The sequence below is a fragment of the Homo sapiens genome, chromosome 4 (genome assembly GCF_000001405.40).
Source record: "Homo sapiens chromosome 4, GRCh38.p14 Primary Assembly".
NCBI classification, from domain to species: domain Eukaryota; kingdom Metazoa; phylum Chordata; class Mammalia; order Primates; family Hominidae; genus Homo; species Homo sapiens.
The window spans coordinates 122,761,775-122,787,484 of NC_000004.12; the positions used below are offsets into that span (position 1 = coordinate 122,761,775).

General features: G+C 38.9%; 6 annotated features.

The window, feature by feature from the left end:
- Positions 5,100 to 5,394: an enhancer, noted in NCBI's record as "tiled region #2230; HepG2 Activating DNase matched - State 5:Enh, and K562 Activating non-DNase unmatched - State 5:Enh". NCBI's record gives its function as "activates a minimal TATA promoter and a strong SV40 promoter by Sharpr-MPRA in HepG2 cells, with weaker activation in K562 cells {active_cell/tissue: HepG2 | K562}" and the evidence as "EXISTENCE:reporter gene assay evidence [ECO:0000049][PMID:27701403]".
- Positions 22,542 to 23,537: an enhancer, noted in NCBI's record as "H3K27ac hESC enhancer chr4:123705471-123706466 (GRCh37/hg19 assembly coordinates)". NCBI's record gives its function as "activates a minimal SCP1, AML or CMV promoter by ChIP-STARR-seq in primed H9 embryonic stem cells {active_cell/tissue: H9 hESC(primed)}" and the evidence as "EXISTENCE:reporter gene assay evidence [ECO:0000049][PMID:30033119]".
- Positions 24,310 to 25,509: an enhancer, noted in NCBI's record as "CDK7 strongly-dependent group 2 enhancer chr4:123707239-123708438 (GRCh37/hg19 assembly coordinates)". NCBI's record gives its function as "activates an origin of replication core promoter dependent on BRD2, BRD4, P300/CBP, MED14 and CDK7 cofactors, with strong dependence on CDK7, by STARR-seq in HCT116 cells {active_cell/tissue: HCT116}" and the evidence as "EXISTENCE:reporter gene assay evidence [ECO:0000049][PMID:35650434]".
- Positions 24,310 to 25,707: a biological region, named in NCBI's record as "CDK7 strongly-dependent group 2 enhancer GRCh37_chr4:123707239-123708438".
- Positions 24,623 to 24,682: an enhancer, noted in NCBI's record as "active region_21876". NCBI's record gives its function as "activates an Ori minimal core promoter by ATAC-STARR-seq in GM12878 lymphoblastoid cells {active_cell/tissue: GM12878}" and the evidence as "EXISTENCE:reporter gene assay evidence [ECO:0000049][PMID:35858748]".
- Positions 24,780 to 25,707: an enhancer, noted in NCBI's record as "H3K27ac-H3K4me1 hESC enhancer chr4:123707709-123708636 (GRCh37/hg19 assembly coordinates)". NCBI's record gives its function as "activates a minimal SCP1, AML or CMV promoter by ChIP-STARR-seq in naive H9 embryonic stem cells {active_cell/tissue: H9 hESC(naive)}" and the evidence as "EXISTENCE:reporter gene assay evidence [ECO:0000049][PMID:30033119]".

A 25,710-nucleotide genomic window follows, 5' to 3' on the forward strand; every position in this document is an offset into this window, starting at 1 on the left:
TTCTCTCTTCTCTTCTGCCATATGAGGACAAAGAGTTTGTCCCTTTTTTGGCCCTTCTGCCTTCCTTCATGTGAGGACACAGCAAGAAAGCCCTCATCAGATGCCAACACCTTGATCTTGGACTTCTCAGCCTCCATAGCTGTGAAAGAATAAATTTCTGTTCTTTATAAATTACTTAGTCTTTGGTATTCTGTTAGAGCAGCACAAAGCAGCCAAGTACCTGGGTATATTGGAATTCTCTGGACTATTTTCACAATGTTTCTGTAAGTCTAAAGCTATTCTAATAAAATTATAAATTTATTTTAAAAACACATTAGTGTGTTCAGACTAACAGTACCTAATGTATTGAAATTAATGTACTAAATAATTGAACCTAGTTTTCTGTGAGTAGTAAGCTAATAAGGCAAAAAATTACTGGGTCATATCTATAATCATGTAATGGTTCAAAAGAACACATCAGTAACAGAAGATACCCTTCAGTAAAGCGAAAGATACATTATTAAAAGCCGAGAATATAGAAAGTACTCTATACAGGAAAGAAACATCCTTACCCCAGGCATATGTAAGTTATTTCCAAAAGGAACAAATGATGGGAATACATCCCAAGAGCAGACTGCCAATTCTAGCCTCTAACAAAACCTTCTTATCTATCATTATGTCAAGTTGTTACTTTTATACTATAATATTTAATGAAATCTATTTCAGACTATTTTGAGGTTTCTTTTCCTTTTCTGAATTTTTTTTCCTTTTCCATTTATTTTGCCATTTTTCCTGGCAGTTTTATTTTTAAAATTTCCCAATATGTTTATCTAGTGAAGTGAAGAAGAGTCTTTGTACACTGTCTACTATGAATGAAAGCAAATTGGGAAGTTCCCGGCCTGTTGACAATGTTGAGCCCTGGTTTGATGTCTAAAAAAAGTAGACTTGTTTCCTGTGTTAACCTCAGTGCAGGAGGTGGAAAAGGCCACTTCCCGATAGGTTTCCACTTTGGGCTAAACATCAAATTAAAAGAAGTGAAACAGATGTAATACATTTGTCCCTCACCACTTAATTAAATCATGTATTAAAATAGTTTCTTGTTAATGGATTCAAAATGTTTTAAACTAACATTAGTGTTTTCTTGTTTGAAAGCAATAGAAACTTCTGTTGAAGTCATTTATTTTCCTACAAATAATCATTGGCTTCCTGTAGTATTTCTAAAACTGCCTTGTAAGAATTACATGCGCCACTTGTCAAAATGCAGATTTCCAGACCTAAAAGCCGTCTTTTTAATTAGAGCCTTCTCATCAGTTAAGTTTTTTGTAGTAATCCTTAACCCCAGCTACACAATAGAATCACCTGGAGAGCTACTAATGTCCCAGCCTACCCCTTTTATACCCCAGATTTTCATTTCTTTTACTGGATGGGGCCTACACACCAGTGGGTTTTAACGCTCTCTGGTTGGTACTAGGGTGTAGCCAGGGTAAAAAACCACTAGTCTTGTGTTTGGAACCAAAATTAATCAGAAAAACCTGTACTTTGCTCCTCAGGCTTTATTTAAAACACATTGGCTACCGAACACACCATATGGATCTCACGAGCATAAGGTTGAGCAAAAGAAGCGAGACACAAAAGAGAACATACTAACTGCTAATAGATTCAGGGTTTCATTTGGGGATCATAGAAACCCTATAAATATCTGGAATTAGATAGTGGTGATGTTTGTACAACATAGTAAATTTACTAAAAACCACTGACATGTACTTTGGGTTTTTTTGTTGTTGTTTTTTGTTGTTTTTTTTTTTTTTGACACTGAGTCTCGCCCTGTCGCCCAGGCTGGAGTACAGTGGCGCGATCTCGGCCACTGATCACCGAGATAAAGAAAACAAACAGCAGTCTTAAGGATCGTACTCCGCCTCCCAGGTTCAAGCAATTCTCCTGCCTCAGCCTCCCAAGTAGCTGGGATTACAGGTGTGCACCATCATGCCCAGCTACTTTTTGTATTTTCAGTAGAGACAGGATTTCACCATGTTAGCCAGGCTGGTCTTGAACTCCTGACCTCAAGTGATTCGTCCACCTCAGCCTCCCAAAGTGCTGGGAATACAGGCTTGAGCCACTGTACCTGGCCGACGCATACATTTTAAAGTAGTGAATTTTATGTTATATAAAGTATATATAATCTTAATTTTAAAATGTTATTAAAAATAGTAAGCATGCTGTATGACCATGTTTGCAAATTTCAAAAACAAGCATGTCTTAACCAAAGTGTTAGAATTCAGTTTAGTGGTTATCTTTGGGGAAGAGGGAAGAAGTCGTGAATAGCCAGGAGAACAAGGAAGGCTCTGGGATGCTGACAGCGTTCCTATTCCTTATCCTGGGTGTTAGTTACAGGGGCAAACTTGCTTTGCGAGCATTCATTTTTGAGCTGTATATTTATGATTTGTGCTTTGGGAAGACTCTGAGTCATCGAGAGAAGCTTAAAAAATATTCAAGCTCCTCAATTTTCCTGCATTCCTGAGAATGCAGGAAAGACTGACTAAGATTTCTATCTTAACCTATAATCAAAGCAAGTCTCCTAAGACATGACGATAATTTTTGACAGTAGAGGTCATTTAATATTGGAACAGTTTACCAAAGAAGGCTATGGAATCTCTGTCTTCAGAGTTCTCTGAAAAATAGCCTTGCTGTAAAATCAGTTCTGTTTTGGGACAGTATCTTGTAGTAATTGGTCAGATACTATTTGAGATCTAATCCAGTCTACATTTAAATTATATCTACTTTTTATTCTGGAAATAAAAAATAAGACAAAACAAAAACTCGGAGATCCTTGATTCCTCCTACCAGGAAGATACTTGCCAAGAAGACTTAGGTAATGCATATATTTTTAGTTATAGCAAACTATTGTAATCTAGTAAGCCAGTCATCAAGCTGAATTTCCCTAAACTCAATTTAATTTTTTCTGTCTTTCTCTTATTGCCACCACATTTTTCTTAATTGCTGTCAATATGCTGACAGTCCTAGACTCTTCTTTCCTTCTTTCTTTACTTACTGCTTTTCCAGGCTCTATGAATTTAGTTCTTTCTCACTTTCTTTATATGCTCTGGGGTTTTATCACTTCATTGCCTCTTTTAATATTTCTCTAGTTTCACTCATATGTCTAAGACTTTTCATTTCCAGAAATGACTACGATATTGTGAGGCTCTAGAAAATGTCCACTTCATTTGCAATATGTTTGTAAGCTAAGACAGTATGGTTCAACATTGTTCAACATTGACTCCTCTGGTTCCAGGATTACCTCTTTAGAATTGAGTCATTTAGCATTGCCACTGATTTCATAATCTCTCTTTTTGCATGCAATCCATTTCCTTTGAAATCTTTTTGTGAATTTCCAGAGCCCCTTCTTATTCCATTACTTATCCCATTCCAAGACTATGCCTTTGTATTCTTACATCTAAGGTTTTATTTCTTTTATAAAGAAACCAAACAGCAGTTTTAAATTTGCTTTGTTCTTAATTGTTCTAATTTCTCCAAGGCTATCACCATATTATAAGTTCTCATAATATTAGCCAGATTCAGAGAAAATGCCTAATTTTTTTTCTAGTTCTCAATTTTTCCAATTGTTTCTTCATTGATTGACAAATCTTATGTCAGCTTTTTATTAATGATGCTATTTGTTTTCACTTAAGGAAAGTAAAATAACAGAAAAAGTGCGTCTTATTTACCAGCTACTGAGTATGTATGTATCCCCTTATTGAGGATCAAATCCCTGCAGTAGCAGATAATTTTTCTAGCTAGAATGAATTTTATAGATTTTCTCTTTGAATCACCTCATTTTACAGATGAGGAAACTGAGACCCAGAGAAATTCACATAGTTAACTACTAATAAAGTGATTTTTATTTCACAATTCTTTGTCACTTTATCGTGCTTAACTTACATCTTTTTTTCTGAGATATGTGTGTGTATGTATATATCTGTGTGTGTATGTGTATATGTGTGTGTGCATATATATAAACATATATATACTTTTTTTTTCTTTTTTGAAAAGACAAGCTCTTTCTTGCTCTGTCACCCAGGCTGGAGTGCAGTGGCGTGATCTCTGCTCACTGCAACCTCTGCCTCCTCAGTTCAAGCCAGTTTTGTGACTCAGCCTCTGTCTGGAGTAGTTGAGATTATAAGTGTGCCTCACCATGACTACGCCTGGCTAATTTTTGTATTTTTAGCAGAGATGGGGTTTGACCCATGTTGGTCAGGCCAGTCTCGAACTCCTGGCCTCAAGTGATCCACCCGCCTTGGCCTCTCAAAGTGCTGGAATTACAGGCATGAGCCACCGCGCCTGGCCTCTAAGCAATATTTTTTAAAATGTTAATAATATTTTTAACATGGGCACACTGAGCCAGTTTAGCTTTCCTCATGTTTATTTTCTTTAAAACTGTTTGGTAAATCATTACCTCCTTTTTAGTACTAGCTGTTCAAGTTAACTATTTCTGCACCGTTTAATACATTATTATATTAGCACAAATTTAAGAACTTTCTCAAGGTGGTGCACCTTTCTCTGTTGGGGGTAGTGTTTAATATATTAATTTCTTTTTACCCCCCCTTTACTGAATTTTCCAAGTCTACTCCAAGAAAACATCAATTTTTCTACATTATCAAGCTTGATTTCTTTTTAAAGATACACCTTGGATGATAACAACAGCTGACCTATATTAAGCATTATGTTTATTGCTCCCATTTTACTGATGAGATAACTGAGGCACAGAAGTGCTCTTCGTGACACGGCGGGAGGAAGCCTAGGCTTTCTTGTTCTAGATCTAATTCTCTTTCTACTTTTTTTGCAGCAATTTGGTTAACATGATTCAATATTGCTGACAAACTTCATTTTTGAATAAACACCATTGTAAATCATAAAAAGTTTATTTTTGTAAAATTACCAAGGCTATAAATGTGGAAAAGATATTAAATTCATTTTCTCTAGCTTTAGGCTCAAACATAGTAATGACTAGTAGCATCTGAAGTGGTGTGCACCCACTCCACAGAGGGCACAAAAAGATGCATGGGAGCACAGGGAGAAATATCAAAACTGCATTTTTATTTAACATTGTATATATCCCATTAATAAATTCAACTTTACGTGTTGCTTAATGTGCATTCTATACTTGTATATAGTACTTGTGTATAATTTATAAATTTGTAAAAGCAAGATTTAACCTCATCCAAAGAGAGGCCTGGTCTTTGCCCTCAGCTCCCAGGAGGTGATCTCTGAGCCCTTGCAGTGTCCTGCCTGATAAGAGTATCTTTGTTTACCTGGGGACGTTGGGCCACACTGGATAGTCTAACAGTGTGATGTATGGTGTGGTGGGGGCTTGGGGCCATGCAATATCAGTGTGACATTTGGTGGGACTGGAGAATAAAGGCATGACCAAGCCCCACTAGAAACTGTGGACATCAAGGTTTGAGTAAGCTTCCCTGTTTAGCAATACTCGTGTGTATTGTCACACATCATTCTTAGCAGTAGTTAATGCTGTCCATGACTCCACAGGGAGAGGACAGTTGGAAACCCTGCCCATGGAACCTGCCTAGACCCTGCCCTATGCACTCCTTCCTTTGGCTGATTTTAATCTGCGTCTTTTCATTGTAATAAACCATAACTGAGTATAACAACAGTTTTGAATGAGTTCTGTGAGTCCTAGTGAATTATTGAACTTGAAAGTGGTCTTGGGGACCACCTGAACTTGCAATTGGGGTCAGAAGTGTTTATGGACCTGGGTTCTTTCACACTCTGTTTTGGTAGCTATGAACAGAAATGTTGGGCCCATTAGTCTAGGCCATATTAGCAAATGATTACCTATTTTCTTCTTAAAGTTCTAGGAAGATGTAAATTTCTTTAATGATCTGTGTCTTAGTCCATTTGTGTTGCAAATGGAGTAAATGTTTTTGTTGTTGTTTTGTTTTGTTTTGTTGGGGTTTTTTTTGAGACGGAGTGTCACTCTGTCGCCTAGGCTGGAGTGCCATGGCAAGGTCTTAGCTCACTGCAACCTCCATCTCCCGGGTTCAAGCGATTCTCCTGCTTCAGCCTCCTGAGTAGCTGGAACTACAGGCATGCGCCACCATGCCCAGCTAATTTTTTTGTATTTTTAGTAGATTTGGGGTTTCACCATGTTGGCCAGGCTAGTCTTGAACTCCTGACCTCAAATGATCCACCTGCCTCGGCCTTCCAAAGTGCTGGGATTACAGGCATGAACCACCACACCCAGCTCAAGTGGGCTAAATGTTATAATATCTTAGACTGAGTAATTATAAACAACAGAAATTTATTTTCTCAGAGTTCTGGAGGCTAGGAAGTCCAAGATCAAGGTACCAACAGATTTGGTATCTGGTGACAGATTTTTACTTCCAAGATGGCACCTTGTTGCTGTGTCCTCACATACCAGAAGGGAAAAAGCTGGGGGGAGGGGGAAAGGGGCCTAGCTAATATCTTCCAGCTCTTTTATAAGGCTGCTAATCCCATACATGAGGGCTCTGTCCTCCTGACTTAATTAGCCCTTAAAGGCCCGAGCTCTTAATACTATCACATTGGCGATTAAGTTTCAACTTACAAATTTTGGAAGGATGCATTCGGACCATAGCAACCCATTTTACAATGATGGTATAAATATAAGGCCATTTATGACAACAATGAATAATGGTCAACTTTCACCTGCTTTCAAAATCTAAGCCCTTTTCCTATTTTATTCTCCTTGAGTGTATTGTTCTCATCTTCAGTGCATGAAAAAAAATGGCATAGAGGCATAATTTTTCAAAAGCCAATTACCTCAATGGCTATGGTTGCAAGCTCTCATGCATGGTTCATGAAAGTCCAGAGACTGGTTCTTCTTTGTGATGGTAAAAGAAGATGTGAACTTATGAATAAAGGTGACAAGATACACATGGCCTCATATCAGGCTATGAGAGATTAAAGCCAGAGGGCTAAGTAAACCTTAGCTTTCATGAGTTATCTAAGAATTCAGTGCTCTAATTTTTCCCTGATACTGGGCCTGGAAAAAAAAATGCTTGAAATGACGCTTTAAAAATTATACTGGGAGAAATGAGGCTAAAGCTTCTGGAACCATAAAGATTCCACAGAACTTTTTTCGAAAGGAATTAAACATTTGTGCTATGAATTAAATAGAAGTCTAGAAATGGCTTCAAGAGATGAGTAAGGAGGACGGGGTAAAGAGGGAACCTCAATATCACAGAATATTGGATTTAGCGTTAGAAGATCTAAAGAAATTCAGTTTTCTCTACTTTAATCCTCCACTTCACTGCTTAAAACCCGAGGCTTCCTAGTGCTTCTAGAATGAAATTCAAACCCCTGCACCTGGGGAAGGCAGTCTGGCCCTTGCCAGCCTCTCAGGGCTGCTTCCCTCTGTCTTCCTTTCTATCTTGGATGCCCAGCACCACACAGACTTGCAGTGGCCCTAATGGACCCTAACTTCCATGACTTTGCATTTGCTGGACCTTCTTTCTGTGTTTTTTCTTTTAATTAAACACATTTTTTTTTTTTCAGATAGGTTCTCACTATGTTGCTCAGGCTGGTTTGAAACTCCTGGGCTCAAGCGATCCTCCCATCTCAGCTTCTGGAGTAGCTGGAATCAAAGACAGGCGTCACCTGGCCTGGCTTCCTACCCTTTCTCCAAGGGAGAAATGTTCCTTCTTTAGCCTGTTCCACAGTATAATCTGCATATGACTATGCCAACACTTGTTTCTCTGTGTACATGCTCCCTCCCTCCCTCATCTTTGTGATTCTAGCACTTAACACAGAATAACAGCCAAAAAAAGCTTATTGGATAAATAATGAACATTAAGATACATGTTGGAGGCCGGGTGTGGTGGCTCACGCCTGTAATCCCAGCACCTTGGGAGGCCGAGGCAGGCAGATCATGAGGTCAGGAGATCGAGACCATCCTGGCTAACGCGGTGAAACCCCGTCTCTACTAAAAATACAAAAAATTAGCTGGGCGTGGTGACACACACCTGTAGTCCCAGCTACTCAGGATGCTGAGGCAGGAGAATCACTTGAACCCAGGAGGTGGAGGTTGCAGTGAGCCAAGATCGTGCCACTGCACTCCAGCCTGGGTGACAAAGTGAAACTCCGTCTCAAAAAAAAAAAAAAAAAAAGATACATGTTACAACACTGTGAGCTGAGGCAGTGGAAATACCTATGACAGTGAAGGTGAGAGTAATTCTTCAAAGGTGTTCTCTGGAGTCAGGGAGACACTTGGGCCTGTCATAGCGCCTGGCTCTTGGTCACTCTGAATGTCAGTTGAATTGTTATGTTTGTATTCATGGTTGAGGATCCCATTCCCATATTAGCCGCCACAAATCTAAAAATCTTTAATTGTAAAAAAAAAAAAAAAAAAAAAAAAAATCAAATGATTTCTGCATAAGGTAGATACCAGTTAGGCCAGACTTTCACTGTTCACATTCTACTTGCTCAAATATTCTCTTAATAAAAATGGGCTCATTTAGTTTGCTTTTTACTTGGAGCAAAAGTAGCTCTCTATCCGACAGGAGTGGACAAAATTCTGGTTTTGAACAGAGGATGTGTTCATAAGTACTTTTTGATTACCAGCCTCTAACTTATTTATAATTCAGATCCCTTGCTTTTCTTCTTATTCCCTCTGATGTCCAATTTTTCACCCTTTAAGTATTCTATCTCATTCATGGGTGATGGAGAGAATGAAAAAAAGAAAATTGATTAAGTTTTATAAACCTTCTTGGAATAGGAATTTTCACTAGAAGTTTCTGTAAATTCCATGCACTTCCCTAAAGATCTTAATATCAGAGGTATATTTGTGTACTTCTGAGAATCAGGTTTTTTATAGAGAAAACATATTCCTTATAGAACTGCACATCAAAAAGGTAAATTATACTACACGTAAATCTGAAAAGAAATTTTAAGAACTTTTAAAAGTTCAACAGAAAAGTTAAGTTTTAAGAGACAGATGGTGTTAGGAAAGTTCGTTAGCTCATTAGAGAAAAAAAAAAAAAGGTAAGAGGTTGAACTTGCACTATCTACCAAAATGAATTCCAGGAGAATTAAAGAACTCAATATTTTTTTAAGTCATAAGATAAAAAAGGAGAGATTTATTAAGACCCTGGAGTAGTGAGAGCTTTCTAAAATTATAAAGATGAAGAAAATGTTGAATGAAAAGATTCATGGATTTGGCTATATAAAACTGTGGAAATGTGGATATCTGAAAGCCCCCAAATTAAACAAACCGGAAAAATACATTTTCAACAAATATGACAAGAAAGTGTCTTTACTGTATAAAGAAATTATACAAATCAATAAGAAAGTCACTTAAAACTAAATTGATAAGCCAGGTGTGGTGGCTCGCACCTGTAATCCCAGCACTGTGGGAGGCCAAGGCGGGTGGATCACAAGGTCAGGAGTTCAAGACCAGCCTGGCCAATATGATGAAACCCCGTCTCTACTAAAAATACAAAAATTAGCTGGACATGGTGGCAGGCACCTGTAGTCCCAGCTACTCGTGAGGCTGAGGCAGGAGAGTCACTTGAACCCGGGAGGTGGAGGTTACAATGAGCCAAGATCACACCACTGCACTGCAGCCTGGGCGACAGAGCAAAATTCCATCTTAAAAAAAAAATAAAACAAACAAACAAACAAAAACCTAAATTGATAAACAAAACATATACAATAATTTCTATTTAATTTTGCAGTTATTATTTCTATTTTCTCTGCTATAGCTATCACGTAATATTCTCTATACTTTAAAGAAGATTAAAGAAGGGAAAATGTAATCTACTTATTCTGATATTAGAAAATACTTGAATCTTCTTCCCATCTTAACTATAGAATTATGGTTTTTCTTTTTAAAATTCTTAATGACAAGTTTTTTTTATTTCATTACTAACTTGTGTCAAGCACATAGCAGGCAAGGCTAAGGCCAAGTCCAAGGCCTCAGACATTTGGCCAGTAAAGACACAGTAAGCCCATTTTAGCTTTAGACTGTTTATTGCTTCCATGGACAGCAAAGAAAAAGTAGCAAAGGCACCAGTTTTCCTTGGTCCTTGTTCCACACAGCAGAAAGAATGACACTGAAACAAAAGGGCAGGATGATAGCAAAATGAGTTGTGGTACACTCTGTTGCCAAGGAGGGAATTCTAGATTGTAACTAAGCAGTTCTATAGCCAGCAACTCTGTCTAAAACGGGTGAGGCAGAAAGCCTCACACCTCATCTGAACTTGGGAGGCAACAAGAAACTCTCAATGTCAGTTTCCCAGGTAGCTAGGGAAGTGAGTGAGAAATATACTTGTAGCAGCTCATTGCAAGCCTCCATGCTCTTATGCTCCAGGAAGGCCATAGGGAAGATTTCCCAAGGCGTAGGTCAGACAGTAATTCAAACCTTTCCCACATGGCTATGTGGATCTTTCTAAGGTGCAAAGCCACTAGGGCATCATGGCAGAGCTGTCCCCCTACAACTCATTGGCCACCTACGTGACCTGCAGAATCCCTCACATCTTCCTATCTGCAATAAGATTTTCTTCACTTTTCCCCTTTCCTGTTTGTGAAGTAAAGCCGTATGATCCATCTGCATAGAACTCCCTGCCTGCTCTCTTTAGTTAACTACATTTTCCCAAATTACGTAATGCCTTTTACTATGCTATGAGAAATAAGAAAAAGTATGAGTTATATACTGTTGTGTAATCAATCACCCCAAAACGTAGTGGCTTAAAACAACAACCATTTCCTATTTCCTATGATTCTGTGAGTTGTCTGGGTGCTCCTCTGCTGTTTTTGCCTTGGCATACTGCTGGGAGGTCCAAGATGGCCTCCAGCACGCATTTGACCGTTGGTGATGACTATCAGTTGGGGCATGTTGGTTCTCCTCCACGTAGCCTCTCATCTTCAGAAAGGTAAACTGGCTGCCTTACAATGTCAGTCTCAGGGCAGCATTCCCAGAGAACAAAGGCAGAAACCCTGAGACCTTTTAAGGTCTAGTTTGGAAGTCACACAACTTTACTTCTACCACATTTTCTTTTAGTTAATGCATATGATAAGGACAGCCCAGAATCAAAGTATGAGAAATAAACTCCCTTTTTATACAGAACGATTTACAGAAGAGTGTTTCCATGTTTTTCAATAATGCAAAAAGAGGAAAAATTGACTACTTGAAATGAATAGGTTCATTGAAGCCCAAATAAAATATGACTTTGCTTTTCATTCAGGTAAGTAAGAATGCCAATAGACTGAACATCTTCAGTTCTAGTCTAAATCACTGTTCATTTCTAAATCACTGTAACACTAAGAGGTCACAAGAATTAAAAAATAAAGGAAACTACAAAAGTTGTCATAAGCCCAGAAAGTTTTTGCAAGAGGAAGTGGAGGCACTAAGTCTTATTTCCCTAGGCAATGTGACCTGACAAGTGTGCTTTCCAAACCTCAGAGAGTTATGCCAATTTCATTCCAAGCCTCTTTAGTTAATAACAGAATGGAGAAGACCAGGTAAAGATTTCATAACTGAAAAGGGAATTTGCAAATTAACTCTCTCAGTTGGCCAACATTCACTGACAGGAGTTTGCATTTTTATTATCATGTACCTTGCATAACTGATGAGAGTTAAATGAGAACATGAATGTAATATGCCTGCTGTAATGCCTGGCTTACCTTTGCCAATAGTTGCTACTATTGTTTTATTCAGGCCTTCACCCAGAATTTCATTGTTCAACAATAGACATTCTATTAGGTATTTAATATATTTTTATGATCAAAATGGGTGCTTGATAAACTTGCTTTTAAAACTTTACAAGCTAAAATTATCATTGCCATAGTGTATAGGGTAAAACTTGGGAATGTCCATTTTCTATTTATCCATATGATGAAAACTGATCTAGCACAATTACAAGAGTCAGCTATTGCTATATAACAAATAATCACCAAAAGCTCAGTGCTAATTAACAAAAGAATTTATTTTGCTCATGGGTAGGGCAGTTCAGCCTCGATCTGTGGCACCTGGTTGGCTCTGCTTCATACTGCAAGTCTATAGATAGGGTGGAATAGCTCTATTCAATGTGTATTTATTCTGAGGCTCAGATTAAAGGGGCAGCAAGTACCCTCAATAAGCTCTTCTCATGGTGAAAGGATGCAAAAGTATGCAGCTTCTCTTAAGGTCGAGGTTCAGAACTGGCGCACTGTCACTTCCACTCAAGCCAATAGAATGGCCAACTTCACCTTTAGTGAGAGGAACTACCTAGCAAATCACAGGGCAAGCTCCAAGTTATAGAAAGAGATGAAGAATTTCAGCCAATAATGCATTCTACCACCAGCGTGTTTAAAGAATATTGGCCAAACTCTCTGCAGACACTCCCTAGACCTGCTTGCACAAAGAGGCACATACCCTGGTTTAGGCTTCTTATACTTTCCTAATAGAACACAAATCCTTTGGCTGACTGTTAAAGCTTATGGTTCTATCCTCAAACAATAATACGGAGTGTCTGCCTATTAGTTACTTAACAGAATATACCTTTGAATTCTGTGCATATTCATAGGAATCAGCAAATATTTTATATCTGAATCAAGAGATTAGAGGAAAAAAGATAGTTAAACTACATGTAGATAATTAGATACTAAAACGTAGATAATTTACACAGTAAATTATCGAAAAATGTAGATTTTTTTTTAAAAAGACAAAAATAATACCATGACATTTTTATGGGAAACAATTTGGCAATATCTGTAAAAACGATAAGTGCCAGTAGGAAGATTTTGTCTTATAGGTCATTCGTGTGTGAAATGATGTATGTATGTGATTACTCATTGTAACATTGTTTGTGATAAAGTTGGAAAGTAACATAGATGTCCATTAACTAGAAACCACTGGAATAAATTAGGACAATTCATACACTGTCATATGAGGCCACTAACAAGAATGTGGTAGATCTTTATGTAATAATAATACAATCTGTCCTAAGAGGTATGGAGGACACATAACATAGATTCAACCTACCACTAATTGGTATCACCAAATACGTATACTATGATTCCATTTTTGTGAAGATAAAGGTACCCATACAGAAAAATATGTATTTACACTGTGGCAACTCTTCTACCATGTCAGCATCAAAGCTCTAACCTGGACAATATGGTCCTCTCTGCTAGGGTTACTGTGTAGGGAGAAAAGATCTCTTTTCTCTCTCATCTCAGGTTCATGCCTGAGACCCCTGTAACAAAAGAAAGATTAATAAGAAATAAGCATACTAATTTATTTAATATGTTTCACATGACACAGGAGCCTTTGTAAGGAAATGAAAACCCAAAGAAATAGGGAAGCCGTGTATTTTTTATGTTTAGGTTTGATGAAAACTGCAGAGTTGTGCAGGATGATTGGACAAAAGGGAATATGACCTAACAGTAATAAACTGGGGGAAACAGCAAGGCCTGTTTGCCTGCATCTTCAGAGATAAGGACATTCCTTTCCTCCAATTATAGAGTTCGTACCTTTCACAGGAAGGTCTTATGACCTACTATAGGGGAAGGTCAACCTGGTGTTATGGCCTGCTTTATGGGAGCAGGAGTGTGGGAAAGACTAGAGTAAGCTTCCTGCCTCTGCTGTTCTGTCAAATGCCAAGGTGCCATATTTTGGGGTAGTGTGTCCTGATCTCCATCGATTGCTTTATATCATTCTCATTTCAGTTAAACAATACCAGCAACATAGCAAATTTATGGAGGTGGGCCTTGTGATAGAATTTCACTTCAATATCCTCAAATTTCATAGATGTTCTAGATTGAAAGCAAAGTTTTAAATAACCTTTTTCTACTCATAATTCCTATACTATGATACAATTCTTACAATATTATCATGTAATTCATATACCAGTATGCTATAGTATTATATAAAAATATGTATACAATAGAATGTACGATTACACACACATACACACACACAGTTGTTTTTTTCCTCTAATTTGGTCTTGAGATTTCTCTCTGGAGAGTTGTTATAACGTTGAGCCTTTCCTATTTCCTGATGGGGCCTCAGGGAAGATGGTTGTGGGTGTTTACAGTGTGCCTTTCACAGAGTATGTCTACCTGGTGGACAGACTAATGTCTAAGTGTCCAACCATGACCAGGTGTCCCTCTCACATTGAAAGATGACCCAGTGGCTCTTGTCTGACCCGTGTCATTTATTCCTACCAAGATAGCCACTCTCTGGAAGAGCCCTGACCAGGGGGTGGGCCAAGTTCAGGATGTGTTGGTCAGATGAGACACAGGGGAAGCAGTGCCAACAAGATACATGACATGACAAAAGCAGTGTATCACTTACAGATCCCAGAGAGAAGAGGGCTGGTAGGAAGGAGGTGGGGCATCTGGGACACGCAGGCACGCTCAACCAGCAGGTGGGGAGCCAGAGAGGGAGGGAGGGAGAGAGAGAAAGACAGAGGGAGAGCACGAGAGCAAGGAACTTGTCGGGGAATTCTAACAGGTGGGTTTAGAGCAAGTAGGTACAAGTTCATGGAGTCACACTGTGACTGAGAGGTGGAAGAGGTGGTTGCTGCAGCATATCTGTGCAGGCCATGCAGAGTGTGGGAGTCTGTGGGGGCAGCCAAGTAGATTGTACTGTATCTACCTCCCATAGGGAGGTGGTAACCAGGAGGCAGTTGTATAAAGCAGATGCCTGGATCAGCCACCACTCTGAGGAACTGGGAGGAGGTGGGGAACTGGAACTTGTGTCAAGGGAGACTGAGCCCTGCTTCTGATATGAGAAAGTTCAATATCTATTCAAAATGGATTCTGAGGCAACGTGAAATTATAAGAATTCACTACACATACACACATTAGACATTTACCATGATAATGATGAGAGACGCTGATAAATGAGGTCTGTTTTAAATTTAAGCTTTTCACCAGGGCATTGTTTGAATGGCTGTGTTTCTTGTATCTTAGGACTCATAATGCCAGTGGCATTTACTCTTTTATGAGAATGGGGTATCAATTAGTAAGACAGTAAAGCTTAAATACAACATTTAACAACATTTAACAGTGTTACAAACAAACACATTTAAAAATCTTCAGGGTATCTTTCCCTCTCAAGAACCTGAATCTCTGTCAAGAGCCTACATCACATTAACAATTAAGATGATAGTAGAATCAACAAACTCCCCGTTACTAGTTCTGGTCACATTTATTTAGATATAATAACATCTACCTGTGTGCATACAGTCAGAATATGACAAGATGTAATAAATGTTGGTATGATAGCAGCTTCTATGTATGTGTGTGTAGCAGAGATTCCAGCTTGAACTTAAAGTTCTATAGTTTTATTGACAATTCCACCCTCGCCTGCCATTGGATTATCAGGAGCTTGTCTTGGCACAAATCCAGTCTCCCAAACACGCCCAGACATGTTGAAACAATGTAATATTCTACAGCTTGTAATTTAGTATAGTTAATGGTGTTAGTCTTCTACATAACATACGTATAAAAGTGAAAGGTTTTTCTTCTACTTTCTCCAGTAGATCCTTTATTTCCATGTTGGTCTCTTTGTGTTACCAAAAGTTTAGAAATTCATATAGGCCCTGGGACAGAAAAATTAGTCCCTGGTTGGCCTAGTTTCCTTAGTATTTTAGCTTAATGATTTAATCCTGTATTCCATCATTTTATTTCATTTTATTTTATTTTATATTTTATTTTATTTTCTGAGACGGAGTCTTGCTCTGTTACTCAGGCTGGAGTGCCGTGGCATGATCTTGGCTCACTGCAATCTCCGCCTCCCAAGTTCAAGCAATTCTTCTGCCTCAGCTTCCCGAGTAGCTGGGATTAGAGGTGTGCACCACCACACCAGGCTAATTTTTTTATTTTTAGTAGAGATGGGGTTTCGCCATGTTGGCCAGGCTAATCTCTAACTCCTGTCCTCAGATGATCTGCCTAACTTGGCCTCCCAAAGTGCTAGGATTACAGGCTTTTAATGTATTCTTTTAATTCCGGAACTTGGTTCTGATTTAGCCATCTAACTACTAGGAAGTACTTTTGAAGTATAATACTGCAAGGAGACATAGACCAAAGAAAGGCATCACACACAGGATTTTCTGTTTGGAGATTTGCAAAATACAATAGAAGCCTGATTAAATGATTAATGGGACAGAATATAATATATCTAAAGAATGCACTCATTAAAAGTTTCTGCACAAATGAGTTAGATAGCTTACTCCAGTGTCTTACTCAAAGGAAAACATTCTAATGCATTCACAGACATACACGCACACAAAAGGAATCCAAACTGATGACAGATGGATGCAATTGCTATTGGGAAAGAAGTGGCAGTTTTAATAGTTCATTATGATGATTTCATTCAAAATATAGTACTAGGATGCTGAAATTTTTAAATGACATGTTACACCATCAAATTTCCCAAAAACACAACAGGAATGCCTTGGAGATATTGCCGATTCAGTCCCAGATCTCTGTAATAAAATGAATATTGCAATGAAGTGAGTCACATGAACTTTTTGGTTTCCTAGTTCATAAAAAAGTTATGTTTACACTATACTGTAGCCTATTAAATGTGCAATACCATTATGTCTAAAGAAATGTACATACTTTAAACATACTGCTAAAAATGCTACTTTGAGACTTCAGCAAGTCATAATTGTTTTGCTAGTAGAGAGTCTTGCCTTGATGTTGATGGCTGTTGACTGATCAGCGTGATGATTGCTGAAGGCTGGGGTGGCTGTCGCAATTTCTGAAAATAAGACAATCATGAACTTGCAGCATCAGTTGACTCTGCTTTTCACAAAAGATTTCTCTGTTTAACAGCGTTTTACCTACAGAAGAACTTACAAAACTGAAGGCGATCTTCTCAAACCGTCCTGCAGCTTTACTAGCTAAGTTTATGTAATATATTTTAAATCCTTTGTGGTCATTTCATCAATGTTCACAGCATCTTCACCAGTAGATTCCATCTCAAAAAAACACTTTCTTTGCTCATTCATAAGAAGCAGCTCCTCTCTTATTATTTGCATCACATCTCCAGTTACTTCCTCCTCTGTAGTCTTGAACCCCTCAAAGTCATCATGAGGGATGGAATCAACTTCTTCCAAACTCTTAGTAATGCTGATATTTTGTCTTCCTCCCATGAACGACAGATATTCTTTTTCTTTTTCTTTTTTTTTTAGACGGAGTCTGGCTCTGTCACCCAGGCTGGAGTGCAGTGGAGCAATCTCGGCTCACTGCAACCTCCACCTCCCGGGTTCAAGCAATTCTCCTGCCTCAGTCTCCCAAGTAGCTGGGACTACAGGCGCCCGCCACCATGCCTGGCTAATTTTTGTATTTTTAGTAGAGACAGGGTTTCACCATTTTGGTCAGGCTGGTCTTGAACTGCTGACCTCGTGATCCGCACGCCTTGGCCTCCCAAAGTGCTGGGATTACGGGCGTGAGCCACCGCGCCCAGCCAAATAACAGATATTCTTGATGATATCTAAAATCATGAATTATTTCCAGAAAGTTTCCAATTTACTTTGCCCACCTCCATCTGAGGAATCACTATCTATGGCAGCTATAGCCTTAGGAAATGTACTTCTTAAATCATAAGAATTGAAAGTTGAAATTACTTATTGATCCATGGGCCTGCAGAATGGATGTTGTGTTAACAGACATGAATGCATAAATCTTGTATATATTCATCAGAGCTTTTGGGTGACCAGGTTCATTAAGTTAAGTAGTAATTCTTTTTTTTTTTTTTTTTTTTTTGAGTCAGAGTCTTGCTCTGTCACCCAGGCTAGAGTGCAGTGGCGTGATCTCGGCTCACTGCAAGCTCCGTCTCCCAGGTTCATGCCATTCTCCTGCCTCAGCCTCCCGAGCAGCTGGGACTACAGGCGCCCGCCACCACGCCGGCTAATTTTTTGTATTTTTAGTAGAGATGGGGTTTCACCATGTTAGCCAGGATGGTCTTGATCTTCTGACCTTGTGATCCGCCCGCCTCAGGCTCCCAAAGTGCTGGGATTACAGGCTTGAGCCACCGCGCCTGGCCTTAAGCAGTAATTTTTTAAATGAATCTTATTTTCTGAGCAATAGTTTCAAAAGTGGACTTAAAATATTCAGTAAACTATGCTGTAAATAGATGTGCTTCATCCAAGCTTTATTGCTCCAATGAGAGAGCACAAGCAGAGTAAATTTAGCATAATTCTTAGGGCCCTAGGATTTTCAGAATAGTAAATGAGCTTTGGCTTTCACTTAAATTCACCAGCTGCATTAATCCCTAACAAGAGAGTCAGCCTGTCCTTTGAAGCTTCGAAGTCAGGTATTGACTTCTCCTCTTTAGCTATGAAAATCCTGGATGGCATCTTCTTCCAAGAGAAGGCTGTTTTATCTAAATAAACATCTTTTCTTTAGTGTAGCCACCTTCATCAATTATCTTAGCTAGATCTGGATAACTTGCTGCAGCTTCTATATCAGCACTTGCTGCCTCACCTTGCACGTTTATTGTATACAGGCTGCTTGTTTTGTTAAACCTCATGAGCCAAGCTCTGCTAGCTTCCAATTATTTTTCTGCGGCTTCCTCACCTCATTCAGCCTTCATAGCAGTGAAGAGAGTTAGGGTGTTGCTCTTGGTTAGGCTTGGCCTAAGGGAATGTTTGATCTCTCCAGGCTACTCAAACTTTCTCTACATCAGCAACAAGGCTGTTTTGCTTTCTTATCATTCTTGTGTTCACTGGAGTAGCACCTTTCATTTCCTTCAAGAATTCTTTTTTTTTTTGCATTCACAGCTTGGCTAACTGCTTATCACAAGAGGCCTAGCTTTTGGGCTATCTTGGCTTTTGACATGCCTCTCTCTTTAGGCTGAATTATATCTAGCTTTTTATTTAAAATGAGAGACATGAAACTCTTCCTTTCACTTAAGCACTGAGAGGCCATTCGAGGGTTACTAATTGGCCTAACTTCAATATTGTTGTGTCTCAAGGGATAGAGAGGCCCAAGGAAAGTAAAGATATGGGGGAATGATTGGTTGGTAGAGCCATCGGAACACACACATCTATCAATTAAGTTCACCATCTTATATGGACATGGTTCATGGTGTCCCCAAAACAGTTACGATAATAACATCAAAGATCATCGATCACAGATCACCATAACAGAAATAATAATAATAAAAAACTTTAAAATATTATGAGAATTACCAAAATGTGACACAGAGACATGAAGTGAGCTCATGCTGTTGGGCAAATGGCACCAATAGACTTCCTCACTGCAGGGTTGCTACAGATCTTCAACTTGTAAAAAACACAATACCTGTAAATTACAATAATGCAGAGCACAATAAAACTAGGTATGCCTGTATTCAGCTTCTCTTTCCTTATAAGTTCAATTCTCTGTTCTGTTTTTCTGGGATTTTTTGAAAATAAACATGTAAGAAAATCACAAAGAATAAACTGTCATCATTTTCCATCCTTCTAATTTCAAACAGGTGCTGGCTGCTCCCTCTTCACAGTGTTTCTGATATGCGGAGCCAGAGGGGTTTTCTGATTTAAAATAGTAGTGACAATCCTGAAACTTCTGTGTTTTGGTCTTTTTTTCTCAAAACCACAAATTAATATTTTGTACCTTCCCTAATAATTACTATGTAATAGTATCTTGTTATGATTAAGACAATAATATCTACACAGAAAGAACAAAAAAAAAAAACTGGTATTCAGATCCATTATCAGGAAAAAAAAAAGGAGAAAAATGTATTTTCCTTCTCATCTATAGCAAATATGGCAAGAAGTTTCTTAACACACTTAGAAGAAAAAGAAAAGTGAAGTTAAAAAAGAGAAAAAGAAGGACACTGTCCAAGCTCAGAAGATTCTTGACTTCGATGAAGTTGTAATATAAACAGTTTAGGGGAACATGGGATTTAAAAGCAATTTTAAGTGTTGGAAAGCAAACAGCATTTCCATGAGACTATCATTGGACCATTTACCAATGTCAGTTCCCGCTTTTAGAGCTAATCATGAGCCTTCCATTACAAGTTCCTAGCCAAGCTGATCTAGTCCAGCTTAAGGTTTGTAGTACATCCTTTCCCAAGTCAACAAAACAAAACAGAACAACAACAAATACTGTCACTAAATGAACATTTCATTAGATATCCCTTTCCCAGCTAGATTTTTTCTTGCCCTGTTACAAAATTAAACAAGTTATTTCTTCTGGGTTCCATGTTTGAAACTCTCCGGTAGATAGGGTTGTTGTAAAGATCAAAAAGACACTGTATATGCAAGCACTTTTAAACATACGAAGAATCATACAAATATATGACAAATAGTATTACCAAAGCCACATTGTAATATGCGGATTTTTTCCTTTTGTTTTCATTTTTCTCTTTTATTCCATTACTATTTTCTTAATAACCAAAACTGCTATGTCGGAATTATAAACTGCTATGTTGAAGTTCAGTTAGGTTGAAAACGAACATTTTTGGTTTTGGCTTTCAGTAAAACTAACAAAAGTACTCAACATTGCAAATTTTTACCCTCAATCGAGGCTGATGTGCTAAAAAAGATCAGAAAACAGAATCTAAAGATGCCATTTTCTAAAAAGTAGTTTTTCTCCTCAGTTTTAATGATTATGAGTTTCTTTTGTTGTTCTTGTTGCTGTCATTAAAACTGCCATGGAAGTAAAATTCCATAAAATGGCATGCATTCCATAGAAATCTCAATTTATACTTCAGGGCAATTTGAGTTGTTACAAATACCATTTTACTGGAAAGAAATCAGTGGCCATGATAAATTATTTATTTTCTTAGTGTTTGCAAACAAAAACCTCTTTTGAGAAACAGGGTATGTATAAAAGAAGGTAAAGAAAACAAGAACAAATTGTCAGATGCCTACAGACACAGGGAGTATGGTCTGTGGTTTGTGTCTCATTCCTAGGGGGTTCCGCTTAGAAGAGGTACTACAGCAAGCACACAGTTTGTGTATTAAACATGTAAAAATGAAAAGCCAAAGTCTGGGCCAGGCGTGGTGGCTCACACCTGTAATCCCAGCACTTTGGGAGGCTGAGACAGGCAGCTCACCTGAGGTTGGGAGTTTGAGACCAGCCTGACCAACATGAAGAAACCCTGTCTCTACTAAAAATACAAAAATTAGCCAGGCATGGTGGCACATGCCTGTAATCCCAGCTACTTGGGAGGCTGAGGCAGGAGAATCGCTTGAACCCAGGAGGCAGAGGTTGCGGTGAGCAGAGATCGTGCCATTGCACTCCAGCCCGGCCAACAAGAGCGAAACTCTGTCTCAAAATACACACATACATACATACATACATACATACATACATACAAAAATACAAAAATTAGCCAGGCGTGGTGGCGGGCGCCTGTAATCCCAGCTACTCAGGAGGCTGAGGCAGGAGAACCATTTGAACCCGGGAAGCAGAGGTTGCAGTGAGCCGAGATCACGCCATTGCACTCCAGCCTGGGTGACAGGGTGAGACTCCGTTTCAAAAAGGAAAGGGAAAGGGAAAGGGAAAGGAAAGGAGAAAAGAAAAGGGCAGAAAATATGTAACACACCTTAGAAAAATTTGTAACTCAAAGGACTAAAATGTTTATCAAAGCACTGTGCTAGAGCTTGCTGGCCAGTTTACACTCTGTATTGGTCAGTTCTTCTGTATAGAGGTTTCATAAAAAGTCAAATGCGCATTCCTCACTGTTGCCATTGCCAAAATTCCTAAAATTCCTGTCCACACTAATAGGAGCTATTGTCATCCTAATGACTCTAGCTCCACCAGGGATCCAGAGCCAAGGATGCCAAACTAGTGACACAGAGGCAGCTAGTGCTGCCCGTGCTTTCCCCTCAGTACCCAGGGCCCTCGCCTTGCTGTGTGCCTGCCAGGTCTTGCTGCTATCATCTCCTTTTCACCCCATTGAAACTTCCTCCTCAGGCCAGCCTCTGTGGTTTAGGCAGTGTAAAATTCTGATAATTTCTTTGGAGTTAATAAGCTAATGAGAAAAGTAAAATGAGCCTTCCTCTATCCTAGCAAACGGGCCCAACTTCACAGCAACCTTCTGGAGCTATGTGACAGTGCTGTTAATTGAATCTGTCTCATGCAAAAAAGAAACAGCAATTATGCAGTTCACTGTGAATAGAGCCCCGTGCTAAGCTTTGCTGGGGGCATTTAAAATTGTGTGAGACATTGGAGCGATCTTCACAAGCTTCAGTCTGGAGAAGAAGATAAACATGAGCACTGCTACCTACAATTAAAGTAAACATGTTACCAAACCAATCTGGCCACTGTGCAAGCCTGACCATGCAAAAAAGCCCTGTGCACTTCATCCTGGACCTCTCTGAGAACCATGAAGGCTGTGAGAACTCTGTGAATGGGACCTCCCTTCAGCAACTGAAGCCAGTGTGATGATCAGCTAAAAAGAAGAGTTTAAAATCTTTTTAGAGCCAACCAGAGATATGAACTCAGAATCTGGCTTCACTTGGTGAATTTCCTCCTTCCTCCTCCACACCTAGCCCTTTAAATTCCTGCTCCTAGAAATCAGCTGAAGTAATTTCTTAAATGCCATGTTAAATTAAGTTTAGCCTAAAGGTGCCTCCTTTCATATTTTAAATTCACCCTAAAGGTTTCTCTGCAAGTGATGAACTGTAACCTAACTGGATGTGTAAAGAGACTGCAACCTATTCTTGTACCATTACCAAGTTTCTGCAAATCAAAGGCAGCCAACTGTTCAAACCGATTTTAAGTAAGGCAAATGCCAAGATGTAACCAATCCAGTTGTTTTTCTGTAGGTCACATTTTTTCTGTCTGTAAATACTCTCCAATCACATGGCAACACTGGAGTCTCTCTGAACATATTCTGATGTGGGGGGCTGCCAAATTCACAAATTGTTCTTTGTTGAATTAAACTCTGTTAAATTTGATTTGTCTACATTTTTTTTCTTTTTGTTTAAAGTTTTCTCTTTTAACAGATGTCATCAAAAGTGGGACCCCTGCTAGAACTGATAAATGAATTTATTAAAGTTTCAGGATACAAAATCAATGTATACAAATCAGTAGCATTGCTATACACCAATAGCAGTCAAGCTGAGAAATCAAGAACTCAACCTCAGCCAGGTGCAGTGGCTCACGCCTGTAATTGCAGCACTTTGGGAGGCCGAGGCGGTGGAACACTTGAGGTTAGGAGTTCGAGACCAGCCTGGCCAACATGGTGAAACCCCATCTCTACTAAAAATACAAAAAATTACCTGGGCATTGTGGTGGGCAACTGTAATCCCAGCTACTTGGGAGGCTGAGTCACGAGCATCACTTGAACCCAGGAGGCGGAGGTTGCAGTGAGCCGAGATCACGCCATTGCACTCCAGCCTAGGCAACAAGAGTGAAACTCATCTTAAAACAACAACAACAACAAACTAAAAAAAGAACTCAACCTTTTACAATAGCTGAAAAAAACAAAACAAAACAAAACCACAAAAAAAACACCAAGGAAGGTGAAAGGAAGTGAAAGACCTATACAAGGAAAACTACAAAGCACTACTGAAAGAACTCATAGACCACACAAACAAATGGAAACACATCCCATGCTCATGGGTAAGTAGAATCAATATTGTGACGATGACCATACTGCCAAATGCAATCTACAAATTGCAGTCTCCATCAAAATACCACCATCATTCTTCACAGAACAAGAAAAAGCAATCTTAAAATACACATGGAACCAAAGAAGTGTCCGCATAGCTACAGCAAGACTAGGCAAAAAGAACAAATCTGGAGGCATCACATTCCCCAATTTCAAGCTATATTATAAGGCTATAGTCACCAAAACAGCATGGTCCTAGTATAAAAATAGGCACATAGACCCATGGAACAGAATAGAGAACCCAGAAATAAAGCCAAATATTTAAGCCAACTGATCTTCAACAAAGCAAACAGAAACATAAAGTGGGGAAGTTCACCCTATTCAACAAATGGTGTTGGAATAATTGGCAAGCCACAGGTAGAAGAATGAAACTGGAATCCTCATCTCTCACCTTATACAAAAATCAACTCAAGATGGATCAAAGACTTAAGTTTAAGACCTGAAACCACAGAAATTCTAGAAGAAAACATCAGAAAAACCCTTCTAGACATTGGCTTAGGCGAAGACTTCATGACCAAGAACCCAAAAGCAAATGCAACAACAATAAAGATAAACAGATAGGGCTTAATTAAACTAAAAAGCTCCTGCACAACAAAATAAATAATGATCAGAGTAAATAGACAACCTACAGAGTGAGAGAAAAATCTTCACAAACTGCATCAACAAAGGAATAATATCCAGAACCTACAAGAAACTCAAGCAAATCAGCAAGAAAAAAAAAATAACCCCATCAAAACATGTGCTAAGGACATGAATAGACAATTCTCAAAAGAAGATATGCAAATGGCCAACAAACATATAAAAATATGCTCAACATCACTAATGATCAGGGAAATGTAAATCAAAACCACAATGCAATATCACCTTACTCCTGCAAGAAACGCCATAGTAAAAATGAAATTTAAAAAAAAAGGAGATTGGCATGTTAGATATGAGTTCTAAATTTCTTCTCAAAGAATCAATATGTCAGTATGTTCAATTCTTTGCCTTCTACTTTTAAACTTAACTTCCTTATAAAGGGACTTTTTTCAATTACTTGCTCCACCCTGACTCATTTCAATCACCTGCTCCACCCTGACTCATTTCAATCACCTGCTCCACCCTGACTCATTCCAATTACCTGCTCCACTCTGACTCATTCCAATTACCTGCTACCTGCTTCCCCTTACTCATTCTCCACCCCTCATAACCATTTTCTCCCATCAAACCACCACCCTGTTACTGTCTTTAAATTAGCCAATCGGAATTAGTTTAGCCTGTGCGGTCTAACCCTAGCCAATAGGGGAATGACACAGCATCAGGGGCCACGTGCGTCAGGAATAAGAACCCCTTTCCCTCCCTCGTCCACATGTGCGCTCACCATTGCTCCATCTGTTAAGGCCGCATCCTTCTATAGAAGTAAGTTGCCTTGCTGAGAATTAAAAAGAAAATTTTATATTCGGGTGCTATTTCTTTTGCGGCACCAAAACTTTACTTATAACAGTGTGGATATGGTGAAAAGGGAACACTTTTACACTGCTGGTGGGAATATAAACTAGTACAACCACTATGGAAAACAATGTGAAGATTCCTTAAAGAACGAAAAGTAGAACCACCATTTGATCCAGCAATCCCACTCCTGGGTATCTACCCAGTGGAAAAGAAGTCATTATATGAAAAAGATATTTTCACATGCATGTTTATAGCAGCACAATTCATAATTGCAAAAATATGGAGCTAGTCAAAATGCCCATCAATCAATGAGTGGATAAAGAAAATGTGGTATATATATATACCATGGAATACTACTCAACCATAAAAAGGAACTAAATAATGGCATTTGCAGTGACCTGGATAGAGTTGGAGACCATTATTCTAAGTGAAGTAACTCAGGAATGGAAAACCAAACATCTTATTTTCTCACTTATAGTGGGAACTAAGCTTTGAGAATGCAAAGGCATAGGAATAATACAATGGTCTTTGGGGACTCTGGGTGTCACCTGTGGAGGGTGTCTCAGGTTCTTGGCATCTTGAACAAAGTATTGGACAAAACGCACAAGCAAAGCAAGGAAGGAATGAAGGATTTATTGAAAATGAAAGTACACTCCTTAGTGTGGGAGCAGGCTCAAGCATAGTGGCTT